The sequence below is a fragment of the Homo sapiens genome, chromosome 2, assembly GCF_000001405.40.
Source record: "Homo sapiens chromosome 2, GRCh38.p14 Primary Assembly".
Taxonomy (NCBI): Eukaryota; Metazoa; Chordata; class Mammalia; order Primates; family Hominidae; genus Homo; species Homo sapiens.
In genome coordinates, this window is record NC_000002.12 from 18626590 (window position 1) to 18640408 (window position 13819).

The 13819-nt window shown below is 40.0% G+C and overlaps 1 long non-coding RNA gene across 11 annotated transcripts in view, besides 2 other annotated features; it reads left to right on the forward strand.

Moving 5' to 3' along the window:
* LOC105373456 (uncharacterized) overlaps positions 1 to 13819 on the forward strand; it is a 529181-nt gene that overhangs the window by 66414 nt on the left and 448948 nt on the right. The window lies entirely within an intron of this gene.
* Positions 12749 to 13249: an enhancer, noted in NCBI's record as "H3K4me1 hESC enhancer chr2:18820604-18821104 (GRCh37/hg19 assembly coordinates)". NCBI's record gives its function as "activates a minimal SCP1, AML or CMV promoter by ChIP-STARR-seq in primed H9 embryonic stem cells {active_cell/tissue: H9 hESC(primed)}" and the evidence as "EXISTENCE:reporter gene assay evidence [ECO:0000049][PMID:30033119]".
* Positions 13250 to 13750: an enhancer, noted in NCBI's record as "H3K4me1 hESC enhancer chr2:18821105-18821605 (GRCh37/hg19 assembly coordinates)". NCBI's record gives its function as "activates a minimal SCP1, AML or CMV promoter by ChIP-STARR-seq in primed H9 embryonic stem cells {active_cell/tissue: H9 hESC(primed)}" and the evidence as "EXISTENCE:reporter gene assay evidence [ECO:0000049][PMID:30033119]".

The following is a 13819-nucleotide window of genomic DNA, read 5'->3' on the forward strand; positions in this document are numbered from 1 at the left end:
CATGTTTCCTGCAAACTCTATAGTAGTTTTCAAAAAAGGTACATTATATAAAACATTTCATCCTTTACTGTAAGCTTAATGTTTGCAGAGTGTCTCTTGCTTCTTGGAGGAAGACGTGGCATACGTTAAAAAAAATGTAAATCTGTTAGTCCAAGATTTTTACAAACGAAGTAGATGTTGCATGTGCAACCTAAAGGAAAATCACTTGACATTAGTAGAGAGATCTATTTAAGATTTGAGTATTTTTTGAATTGGAAAATAATCTCTAGTTATGCATTTTCTCTTATAAGTTTGGAGTTAGGGATAATAGACTGTGTCCTGCATGGTGGAATCTGTGAGTGCCATGGTTTGAGTGTGTCCCCTACATTTCATGTGCTGGAAACAAAATCCCCAAGGCAACAGTGTTGAAAGATGGGACCTTTAAGAGGTGATTAGGTCATCAGGAGTCTGCCTTCATGAATAGATTGATGCTGTTATCATGGGAGTGGGTTCCTGATAAAAGGATGACTTTGGCCCCCCTTCCTCTTTTGCTCACATGCTCTTATGCACTACCACCATGGGATGACACAGGAAGAAGGCCCTCACAAGCTATGGCCCTAGATCTCGGACTTCCAGTCTCCAGAACCATGAGCCAAATACACTTCTATTGTTTATAAATCACCCAATCTGTGGTCTTCTGCTATAGCAACAGCAAAATGGACTAAGACAATGATCCAGAACACAGCCAGGCTCTGAGCCTGACCAATGAGCCTCATTCTCCAACTGACCTTAGGTCAATCTTGTACAAGTTAATTTGGCATGATTTAGTTATCTTCTGTGAAGTGCGAAAATGAATTACATTCATTCAGGCACTATTTATGGGGTGTTCACCATGAGTCACAAATGATGTTAGGCATTGAGGATATAAAGATAAATAAGATAAATTCACACCCCTCAGGAGCACAGATGATAAGTGAAAATAAACAGGCCTCTAATGCATGGGCCCAGTTCAGACTTTCTTCTACTAGCTGAGTGATGCTGGATGAAGTACTCTGCCCTTTTGAGCCTGCTTCCTCATCTAAATATGGGAAGACACTGACGATACTTCTCTGAGAAAGTTGTCACTAAGGTCAAATAAGAATAGAATAATGTCTTATAAGTGATAGAGCACTAAACATATCAGAGTTATTTTAGGAAGAAAATATGACATAGTAGAATGGTCATAGGTTTGACTGAAGTTGGTTCAAATCTCAGCTCTACCACTTAAAAGTTACATGAAATTGAGTTGTTATGAAGATTAAATATAACAATTCATCCATACACCCATCCATCCATCCGCCATTCATCCATCCATCCATCCATCCATCCAACTAAGTCATTGAGTACCTACTGTATATAAGGTATTTTTCTAGAAGTCATCTCAGAGAATGCGTTCTCCAAAGGACCATACAGTAAATATTTTAGGATTTGTGGTCGACATACTTTCTGTTGCAACTACTCAACTCTGCTGTGTAGTATGAAAACAGCTATAGAAAATTTATAAACAAATAAGTTTGCTATTTCCTGATATAACTTTGTTTACAAAAACAGGTGATAGGCTAGATTTGGCCTGTGAGCTATAGTTTGTCCACCATGTCTGTTATAAATACTAAACATGGCCCTTAATCTCATGGTGGTTTTATTTTAGTAGACAGCATAGCAAAAGACAAGTAAACAAAAAAGTAAGATAATTGTAGATACCCTTTCTCTAACTATAAAAATGACTGTTGTACCTTCTGGTACATGACATAGGGTAGGAGCTTGGTGAATACTTACTGAGCTGATAAATGCAGATGTATTTGTTACTTTTTCTGTCGTCTCTGCAACTATATTTTCTTCTGTGTTGAGTACACATGTGGTTATCAACAAAAGACTTTGGGTGAATTTGTAAATTCTCATTTGGAAGTTGTGTGCCTTAACAAGATTCCAAGGCCAAACATACTGCTAAATGCTCATATCTTGGGGGCCATTTATTATTTTCTGAACTATTGAAGGAGTCAGTTGATGTTGATAGATTTCAAAGTGAACTCTGAGTTTGCATCAGTTCTGGGACTCTGTGAACAAGGTAAGGGCTAGCAGTCCTGAGCCTTTGAGAAGTACCCATGATGTCACCTGCAAAGGTTAAAAAAGTCTTAGGAGAAAAGCAAAGATGACTGTCCATTTTTCCAAACTTCTACTGAGGTCACTATATAAGGAAGAACTATCAAGCGGATTAAAATTATTTTTCAAACTGTGTGTTTGTAGCAGGGTATACTTTTGAACCTTCTATTGGTTTGAAAAGCTAGAGGAATAAGGTAACCATGGGATCTCAGATTTTATAACTGCCCCATTTTCCAACTGTGCTGGATCTCACGTGACTGTATAATTTAGCCTTTCCCTTTTGTTCCTCCTCCTCCCACTCAGAGGTACATGGGGATGGGGATACATAGGAACAGTCTCAGTTCTCTCCCACCTCACTGAAATCATAGAAAGTGGATAGAGACTCCTTTGGTGGATCACTAGAATTATACAGTTGTTTCATTGAGAATACTTAGATATCATTCATTCCAAAACTATTCATTTATAGATAAACAGTCTTCTAGGGAGGCTGATGATTACATTGGCTTTGGAGTTTGAAAATTGGAAGTTATCAAATGTTTAAAATGGAATTAATTTCAATTTGAAAATAAATGACTAGATTGCTTTTAATTTTTATAAATAACAATATTTTTAGGATTCAAACACAATCATACATTATATAAACCTACATATATATATATGTGTGTATATATATAGCCTACTATGCCTGGGCACATTTAACCCTCCCTATCTCCCTATGTGTTGTGTGCTATTAGTATTCCCATTTTGCAGATGATTTAACTGAAGAAAAAAGGTTATGAAACTTCCCTGAGAATAGAAAATAATAAATCTGTGGAGCTGGGTTTGAACTCAGGTATTTCTGCTTCTAGAAGAAGACCCACGTTCTAATTTTTTTAATATGTATCCACTAATGATTTATTCTTCATTTATTTTATCATATATTTTTTATTTTTCCATAAGTTTTTGGGGTACAGGTGGTATTTGGTTACATGAGTAAGTTCTTTAGTGGTGATTTGTGAGATTTTGGTGCACCCATCACCGAAGCAGTATACACTGAACCATATCTGTAGTCTTTTATCCCTTGCCCCCCTCCAATTCTTCCCTACAAGTTCCCAAAATCCATTGTATCATTCTCATGCCTTTGCATCCTCATAACTTAGCTCCCACATATCATTGCGAACATACAGTGTTTGGTTTTCCATTCCTGAGTTACTTCACTTAGAATAATAGTCTCCAGTCTCATACAGGTCACTGCAAATGCTGTTAATTCATTCCTTTTTATGGCTGCGTAGTATAATTTGAAAAGCTATTTTTTCTCCTTCAGGTCTAATGACAACATAGTGAAACAACAACTGGACCTTAGCAGGATTGATATTTAAATACAGAATTGCTGAAATATAAATGCAAAATCTGAATGTTAGTCTGTTTTGGGCAATGACAATGTACAGCTGTTAAATGTACAGCAAGATTTTTCTAGGCAACCCCTATTTTCTGGAACAGCTGGAACAGCCCCACTGATACCTGATTTATAGTTCAAGGAAATAAGTTTTGAAGGCTATGATTTGGCCACCTGCATCTAAATCTGTGTGATAATGAGTCACATCATGGATGCAATTCAGAGGTATTTGAAGAATTCATCTGTGACTTCTTGGCTGAGAGTTTCTCCAGAAGAGTACCAGGGAAAATTGCATGTTTTCCTCTACTTGGCTGATATCAGTACTTCTGAGATTAAGAAATTGTGAAAATCTAAGGATGGGAAGGTAAGTAAACAATGTCTGGACACAGGATGGTCCAAATTTGCATGATTACTATTTTTTTTTTCTAGAAAGAAGTAGAGTTACAGAATTGAATGAACTGAGAACAAATCTAAAGTCCTACCATAACCTTTGAGGGCCTCCTGATCTCACTCTGACTAGATTTTGACCTCTTTTCGGCCTCTCTCCCCAGTCTCCCTCCCCACTTTCTAACTGCACAGGCCCCTTGCTCTTATTCTCCTGCTCAGGCTTTGGCCATCCTTCCCTCTGTCCTATGGTCTCTGCCCCAGCAGGTCCACATGACTCACCCCCCACACTTCCTTCAGCTCTCTGTTCAAGTGTCACCCAGTTAGAGCAGACTTCCCTGACCACCATCCATAGGACTGGCACCCCACCCTAAGTCCCTCATTGTGCTTTTTTGTGCTTCATAGCCCTGTTATCATCTGACTTTTATCTTGTGCTTTGTTGTCTATTTCTGCAACTAAAGAGCAAGCTTAATGAGAACAGGGGCATTCTGTTTTGTTGTTCACTGATGTTGAATCTCCATACTAGAAAAGTGCCCAGGGACCTAATAAATATCTGTTGAAAGAATGAGTCAATGATGAAAGGAGAGCAATGTGAATGCATAGTATTTCCTTTTAGACTTGTTGAGGCTCTGTTGAGAACTTGAAGAGTGACCACTGGGTAGCCACAGCTGTCTTCACCAATCTCATGAAGTCACACTCTTTGCTGACCATACTGTGCCAGAGGGCTTGGCATGCTATTGTTCTTCTGAGTGGAGGACTTCAGGTTGTTTGTCTTAGTTCTGATTGTGCAAGGGAAATGAGCCTTTAAAAGACCTGGTGCCATCATATTTATCAGGGTGCTTTGGAGTCCTTACTCATTCACTCATTGATTTACCAAACATTTATGGAGCACTTACTGTGCTTCAAATGCTTAAGGGTCAGAGATGAATGTCTTGGGTTCCCTGCTTCCAAGGAATTGTCTAAGGTCTATCGAAGGAGGCAAGTGAAGAGAAAGTCACAATTCTGGATGATTAGCACTCTGTAAGGACAGGAAGTTGTGGAGCCTACAGGAGGTGTACCCAACCCAGCTTACAGGGAGTAGTGTGAAAGAACAGGCTTCCCAACAAGATAGAAAAACTTTGAAGGAAACTAAAGATTATTTAGGTGGAGGTGGTGGAAATCTTTCCAGAAAGAGAAAACAGGGTGTAAAACATCCAAGAGCTGAGAGAACTTGGCACAACTAAAACTGAAGTAGACTATTCTGCCTAGATAATAAAATACTCCAGATAGGAGAAGGAAGAGATGAAACTGGAGAAATAGTGCTTAATGCTGCAAGGAAAAATTAAGCTTATCAAAAGCAAATTCCAGAACTGCATGTATCTAGGCCTCTAGGTGGGTTTCCCAAGGAACCTTCAAGGGAACTGATTGGTTTGGCTGTGTCCCCACCCAAATCTCATCTTGAATTGTAGCTCCCATAATCCCCATGTGTCATGGGAAGGACCCAGTGGGAAGTAATTGAATTATGGGGGTGGGTTTTTCCCATGCTGTTCTTATGATACTGAATAGGTCTCATGAGATCTGATGGTTTTATAAAGGGCAGTTCCCCTGCACATACACACTCTCTTGCTTGTCACCATGTGAAGAAGGACGTTTTCTTCCCCTTCTGCCATAAGTTTCCTGAGGCCTACCCAGCTGTGCTGAAGTGTGAGTCAATTAAATCTCTTTCCATTATAAATTACCCAGTCTTGGGTATGTCTTTATTAGAAGCATAAGAACAGACTAATACAGTAAATTGGTACTGGGTAGTGGGGTGCTGCTGTAAAGATACCCAGAAATATGGAAGTGACTTTGGAACTAGGTAACAGGCAGAGGTTGGAACAGTTTGGAGGACTCAAAGAAGATAGAAAAATGTGAGAAAGTTTGGAACTTCCTAGGTATTTGGAGGACTCAGAAGACAGGAAGGTGTGGGAACGTTTGGAACTTCCTAGAGACTTGTTGAATGGCTTTGACCAAAATGTTGATAGTGATATGGATAATGAAGTCCAGCCTCAGGTGCTCTCAGATGAAGATGAGGAACTCGTTGGGAACTGGAGCAAAGGTGGCTCTTGTTATGCTTTAGCAAAGAGACTGGAGGCATTTTACCTTGCTGTAGAGATCTGTGGAACTTTGAACTTGAGAGAGATGATTTGGGGTATCTGGCAGAAGAAATTTCTAAGTGGCAAAGCATTCAAGAGGAAGCAGAGCATAAAAGTTTTGAAATTTTTCAGCCTGACAATGCGATAGTAAAGAAAAACCCATTTTCTGGGGAGAAATTCAAGCTGGCTGCGGAAATTTGCATAAGCAATGAGGAGCCAAATGTTAATCACCAAGACAATGGGGAAAATATCTTCAGGGCATGTCAGAGATCTTCACGCAGCTCCTCCCATCACAGGCTCAGAGGCCTAGGAGGAAAAAATGGTTCCCTGGGCCAGGCCCAGGGAACATGTGGTATTTGGTTTTCTTTTCCTATGTTAGTTTGCTAAGAATAATGGCCTGCAGCTTGAACCATGTCCCTGCAAAGGACATGATCTCATTTCATTTTATGGCTGCATAGTATTCCATGGTGTATATGTATCACCTTTTATTTATCCAGTCTACCATTGATGATCATTTAGGTTGATTTCATGTCTTTGCTATTGTGAGTAGTCCTGCAATGAACATACACATGCATGTATCTTTATAATAGAATGATTTCTATTTTTTTTGGGTATATATCCAGTAATGGGATTGCTGGGTCAAATGGTAGTTCTGTTTTTAGGTCTTTGAGGAATTGCTACACCATCTTCCACAATGGTTAAACTAGTTTAAATTCCCACCAACAGTCTAAAAGTGTTCCTTTTTCTCCACAACCTTGCCAGCATCTGTTGTTTTTTGACTTTTTAATAATAGCTTTTCTGACTGGTGTGAGATGGTATCTCATTGTGGTTTTGATTTCCATTTCTCTAACCATCAGTGATGTGGAGCTTTTTTTTTATATGTTTTTTGGCCACATATATGTCTTCTTTTGAGAAATGTCTGTTCATGTCCTTTTGCCCACTTTTTAATTTTTTTTGTAAATTTAATTTTCTTATAGATGCTGGATATTAGACCTTTGTCAGATGCATAGTTTGTGGAAATTTTCTCCCATTCTGTAGGTTATCTGGTTACTCTTTTGATGATTTCTTTTGCTGTGCAGAAGCTCTTTAATTTAATTATATCCCATTTGTCAATTTTGCTTTGGGCATCTTCGTTATGAAATCTTTGTCTATGCCTATGTCCTGAATGGTATTGCCCAGGTTTTTTTCTAGGCTTTTTATAGTTTTTGTTTTTACATTTAAGTCTTTAATCCATCTTGAGTTAGTTTTTGTATATGGTGTAAGGAAGGAGTCCAGTTTCAATTTTCTGATTATGGCTAGCCAGTTCTACCAGCAACATTTGTTAAATAGGGAACCCTTTCCCTGTTGCTTGTTTTTGTCAGGTTTGTTAAAGATCAGATGGTTGTAGGTGCATGATCTTATCTCTGGGTTCTCTATTCTTTTTCATTGGTCTATGTGTCTGTTCTTGTACCAGTACCATGCCATTTTGGTTACTGTAGCCTTGAAGTATAGTTTGAAGTTGGGTAGCAGGATGTCTCCACCTTTGTTTTTTTTTGCTTAAGATTGCCTTGGCTATTCAAGCTGTTTTTTGGTTCCATGTGAATTTTAAAATAGTTTCTAATTCTGTTTGAAGAATGTCAACGTTAGTTTAATGAGAATAGCGTAAAATCTATAAATTTTTTTGGGCAGTATAGCCATTTTAGTGATAATTGATTCTTCCTATCCATGAGCATGGAATGTTTTTCCATTCATTTGTGTTTATCTCTGACTTCTTTTTTTTTTTTTTGAGATGGAGTAGTATAAAATCTATAAATTGTTTTGGGCAGTATGGGCATTTTAATGATAATTGATTCTTCTTATCCATGAGCATGGAATGTTTTTCCATTCGTTTGTGTCATCTCTGACTTTTTTTTTTTTTTTTTTTTTTTTTGAGACAGAGTCTCGCACTGTTGCCGGGCTGGAGTGCAATGGCATGATCTCGGCTCACTGCAATCTCTGCCTCCCAGGTTCAAGCAATTCTCCTGCCTCAGCCTCCCGAGTAGCTGGGATTACAGGTGGCTGCCACCATGCCCAGCTAATTTTTTTTTTTGTATTTTTAGTAGAGACGGGGTTTCACTATGTCAGTCAAGCTGGTCTCGAACTCCTGACCTCGTGATCCACCCACCTTGGCCTCCCAAAGTGCTGGGATTACAGGCGTGAACCACCGTGCCCGGCCCTAAATCATCTCTGATTTCTTTGAGCAGTGGTTTGCAGTTCTTTGTGAAGAGGTCCTTCACTTCCCTTGTTAGCTGGATTCCTATGTATTTTATTCTCTTTGTGGCAATTGTGAATGAGAATTCATTTGTGATTTGGCCCTGGGCTTGCCTGTTGTTGTTGTATAGGAATGCTAGTGATTTTTTGCACATTGATTTTGTATCCTGAGACTTGGCTGAAGTTGCTTATCAGTTTAAGAAGCTTTTGGGCTGAGACAGTGGGGTTTTCTATATATGGGATCATGTCATATGCAAACAAAGGTAGTTTGACTTTCTCTCCTCCTATTTGAATATGCTTTATTTCTTTCTCTTGTCTGAATTTCCTGCCAGAACTTCCAATACTATGTTGAATAGGAGTGATGAGAAAGGGCAATCTTGTCTTATGCTGGTTTTCAGGAGGAATGCTTCCAACTTTTGCCCATTCAGTATGATATTGGCTGTGGGTTTGTCATATATGGCTCTTATTATTTTCAGGTATGTTTATAATATCTAGTTTATTGAGAATTTTTAACATAAAGGGAGGTTGAATTTTATCAAAGGCCTTTTATGCATCTATTGAGATAATCATGTGGTTTTTGTCTCTAGTTCTGTTTATGTGATGAATCACATTTATTGATTTGTTTATGTTGAACCAGCCTTGCATCCCAGGGATGAAGCCTATTCGATTGTGGTCATAACCTTTTTGATATGCTGCTGGATTCAGTTTGCTAGTATTTTGTTGAGGATTTTTGCATCACTGTTCATCAACGATATTGGCCTGAAGTTTTCTTTTTGTTGTTGTTGTTGTATCTCTGTCCAGTTTTGTTATTAGCATGATGCTGGCTTCATAGAATGAGGTAGAGAAGAGTCCCTTCTTTTCATTTTTTTAGAATGGTTTCAGTAGAAATGGTACCAGCTCTTCTTTGTACCTCTGGTAGAATTCAACTGTGAATCTGTATGGTCCTGGGCTTTTGTGTGGCTTTTTTTTTTTTTTTTTTTGGGGGGGGGTTGGTAGGCTTTTATTACTGCATCAATTTCAGAACTTGTTATTGGTCTATTCAGGGATTCAATTTCTTCCTGGTTCAATCTTGGGAGGGTATATGTGTCCAGGAAATTATCCATTTCATATATATATATATATATATATATATATATATATATATATATATATGTATATATATATATATATATATGTATATATATATATATATTTTTTTTTTTTTTTTTTTTTTGCTTATGTGCATAGAGGTGTTTATAGTATTCTCTGATGGTGGTTTGTATTTCCTTGGAGTCAGTGGTAATATCCCCCTTATCATTTCTAGTTGTGTTTATTTGAATATTTTCTCTTTTTTTCTTTATTTGTGTAGATAGCAGTGCATCTATCTTATTAATTTTTTCAAAAAACCAGCTCCTGTGTTCATTGACTTTTGAATGGTTTTGTTTGTGTCCCTATCTCCTTCAGTTCAGCTCTGATATTGGTTATTTCTTGTCTTATGCTAGCTTTGGGGTTTGTTTGCTCTTGGTTGTCTAGTTCTTTCAGTTGTGTTTTTAGGTCATTAACTTGATATCTTTCTAGCTTTTTGATATAGGCATTTAGTGCTATTAATTTGCCTCTTAACACTGTTTTAGCTGCATCCTACAGATTCTGGTACATTATATCTTTGTTCTCATTAGTTTCAAAGAACCTCTTGATTTCTGCCTTAATTTCATTATTTACCCAAAAATCTTTCAGGAGCAGATTGTTCAATTTCCATGTAGTTGTATGGTTTTGAGTAAATTTTTTAATCTTGAGTTCTAATTTGATTGCACTGTGGTCTGAGAGATTGTTTGTTATGAATTCAGTTCTTTTGCATTTGCTGAGGAGTGTTTTACTTCCAAATATGTGATCAATTTTAGAGTAAATGCTATGTGGTGATGAGAAGATTATATATTCTGGGTTTTTTTTTTTTTTTTTTTTGTAGTGGGGATGTGGTGTGGAGAGTTCTATAGATATCTATCAGGCCCACTTGATCGAGACCTGAGTTCTGATCTTGAAGATCTTTGTTAATTTTCTGTCATGATGATCTGTCTAATATTGTCAGTGGGATGTTAAATTCTCCCATTATTATTGTGTGGTTGTCTCAGTCTCTTTGAAAATCTCCAAGAATTTGCTTCATGAATCTGGGTGCTGCTGTATTGGATGCATATATATTTAGGATAGCTAGCTCTTCTTCTTGAATTGAACCTTTACCATTATATAATGCCCTTCTTTGTCTTTTTTGGTCTTTTTTGATCTAGGATTGCAACCCATGCTTTTTTCTATTTTCCATTTGCTTGGCAAATTTTTCTCCATGCCTTTATTTTGAGCCCATGTGTGTCTTTGCATGTGAGATGAGTCTCTTAAGACAGCATGCCAATGGGTCTTGGTTGTTTATCCAGCTTGATATTCTGTGTCTTTTAAATGGGGGCATTTAGCTTATTTATATTTAAGGTTAGTATTATTATGTGTGGATTTGGTCCTTTCATCATGAGGCTAGCTGTTCATTTTGCAGACTTGTTTATGTGGTTGCTTCATAATGTCTCTGCTCTGTGTACTTCAGTGTGTTTTTGCAGCTGCTGGTAATGGTTATTCCTCTCCACATTGAGTGCTTCCTCCAAGAGCTCTTGTAAGGCAAGTCTGGTGGTAAAAAATTCCCTCAGCATTTGCTTGTCAGAAAAAGATCTTATTTCTCCTTTGCTTATGAAGCTTAGTTTCTATGGATATGAATTCTGTGTTGGGAATTTTTTTCTTTAAGAATGATGAATATTGGCCTCGAGTCTCTTCTGGCTTGTAGAATTTCTGCTGTGGGGTCTGCTGCTAGTCTGATGGGCTTCCCTTTGTAGGTGACCTGGCCTTTCTCTCTGGCTGCCCTTAACATTTTTTATTTCATTTCGACTTTGTAGAATCTGATGATTATGTATTTTGGGGATGATCTTCTCATGGAGTATCTTACTGGGTTCTGCTTTTCCTAAATTTTAATGTTGGCCTGTCTTACTAGGTTGGTATAGTTTTCCTGGATGATATCCGGAAGTACGTTTTCCACGTTGGTTCCCTTCTCCCTCTCTTTCAGGTACCCCAATCAGTTTTAGATTCAGTCTCTTTACATAATCCCATATTTCTTGGAGGTTTTGTTCATTCATTTTCATTCTTTTTTTTCCTCTATTCTTGTCTGACTGTCTTATTTCAAAAAGATAGTCTTCAAGCTCTGAGATTCTTTCCTCCAGTTGGTCTATTCTGCTATTAATACTTGTGATTGCATTGTGAAGTTCTCGTAGTGGGTTTTTCAGCTCTATCAAAACAGTTATGTTCCTTTCTATATTGGCTATTTTTGCTGTCAGCTGCTGCATTGTTTTATCATGATTTTTAGCTTCCTTGCATTGGGTTACAACATGCTTGTTTAGCTTGGTGTGTATGATGGTTAATATTGAGTGCCAACTTGATGTGATTGAAGGATGCAAAGTATCCTTCCTGGGTGTGTCTGTGAGGGTGTTGCCAAAGAAGATTAACATTTGAGTCAGTGGACTGGGAAAGGCACACCCACCCTCAATATGGGTGGGCACAATCAAATCAGCTGCCAGCATGGCCCGAATAAAAAGCAGGCAGAAAAACGTGCAAAGACTAGACTGGCTGAATGTTCTGGCCTCCATCTTTCTCCCATGCTGGATGCTTCCTGCTCTTGAACATTGGACTCCCAAGTTCTTCAGCTTTTGGACTCTTGGATCTTCGGCCACAGACTGAAGGTTTCACTGTAGGCTGCGCTACTTTTGAGGTTTTGGGACTTGGACTGGCTTCCTTACTCGTCAGCTTGCAGATGGCCTATCATGGGATCTAATCTTGTGATCGTGTGAGTCAATACTCCATAATAAACTCCCCTTTATATATACATCTATCCTATTAGTTCTGTCCCCCTAGAGAACCCTAATACAGTGAAGTTCATTTTTATCTGCATTCTGAAGCCTGCTTCTGTCATTTCAGCCATCTCAGCCTGAGCCCAGTTCTGTACTCTTGCTGGAGAGGTGTTGCAATCATTTGGAGGAAAAGGGGCACTCTGGCTTTTTGAATTTTCAGTGTTTTTGGCTGATTCTTTCTCTCTCGCTTTTTTTTTTTTTTTGAGATGGAGTCTCGCTCTGTTGCCCAGGCTGGAGTGCAGTTGTGCGATCTCGGCTCACTGCAAGCTCCGCCTCCTGGGTTCATGCCACTCTCCTGCCTCAGCCTCCCGAGTAGCTGGGACTACAGGCACCCGCCACCACACCCAGCTAATTTTTTTGTATTTTTTAGTAGAGATGGGGTTTCACCATGTTAGCCAGGATGGTCTCGATCTCCTGACCTCATGATCCGCCTGCCTCGGCCTCCCAAAGTGCTGGGATTACAGGCATGAGCCACCACGCCCGGCCTCTTTCTCATCTTTGTGAGCTTATCTGCCTTCAATCTTTGAGGTTGCTGACCTTTGGATGGGGTTTTTGTGTTTTTGTTGTTTCTCTTTTAACAGTCTGGCCACTCTTCCATAGGGCAGCTGTGGTTTGCTGGGGGTCCATTGCAGACCCTAGTCATGTTGGTTTTTCCTGTACCTGGAGGTCTCACCACTGAAGGCCGAAAAATAACAAAGATGACAGCCTGCCCCTTCCTCTGGAATCTCCGTCCCAGGGTATTACTGACCTGTTGCTAGCTTGAATGCACCTGTATAAGGTGGCTGGAATCCCCATTTGCAGGGTTTCACCCAGTCAGGAGGAATAGGATCAGGAAGCTGCTTAAAGAAGCAGTCTGGCTACTTTTTGTTAGAGCGTCTGTGCTGTATTGGGGATCCTCATTCAGCCCTTGATTTGTTTGGGCTCACCAAGGCCCACAGGCTGGACCAGCTGAGATGCCCAAACAAAGAGCCAAGGCGGTGGCCTGGCCTGACCTGACCCCCAGGCACTCTCTTTCAGGGAGAAATTAGAACTCTGTCAGCTGTAGAACGTGGGTGGGGGTAGCCAGAGGCTCTGGCTGGGAGGACCCACCCCAGGAGGAGAGAATGAATCAGGGCCCCACTTAAAGAAGCAGCCTGGTCACACCTAGACAAAACAGCCACGCCATGCTGGGGAACCACCTCTGCCCCTGTCTGCCTGGACTCTGCAAAGCCTGCAGGCTGGAACAGCTGAGTCATCAAAACAACCAAGGTGGCAGCCCTCCCCTGCCCCTGGACACTCCTTCCTAGGGAGAGATCAGAGCTCCGTTCATAGAATACATGTATCTGGGGGTAACTGGAGGCCCCAGCTGGGAGGTCCTACCCAGTGAGGAGGAATGGATCAGATGGATTCACCTTAAAGAAGCAGTCTGGCCTGGCCACGTTCTAGCAAAGCAGCTGTGCTGTGCTGGGGGGGTCCCTTCCTCGTCGGGACTATTTGGACTCTCCAAAGCTTGCAGGCTGGAATGGCTGAGTCAACCAAACAGCAGAGATGGCAGCCCACCCCTCCTACCAGGGGCTCCATCCTGTCTCAGGCAGGCTCCACCTAGTTGCCGGTGGCTGGCTGGAATTCCAAGCCAGTGGGTCTTACCTTGTGAGGTGCTATGGAAGTAGAGCCCACAGACTGACGCTGCTCAGCCATCTGGATTCAACCAC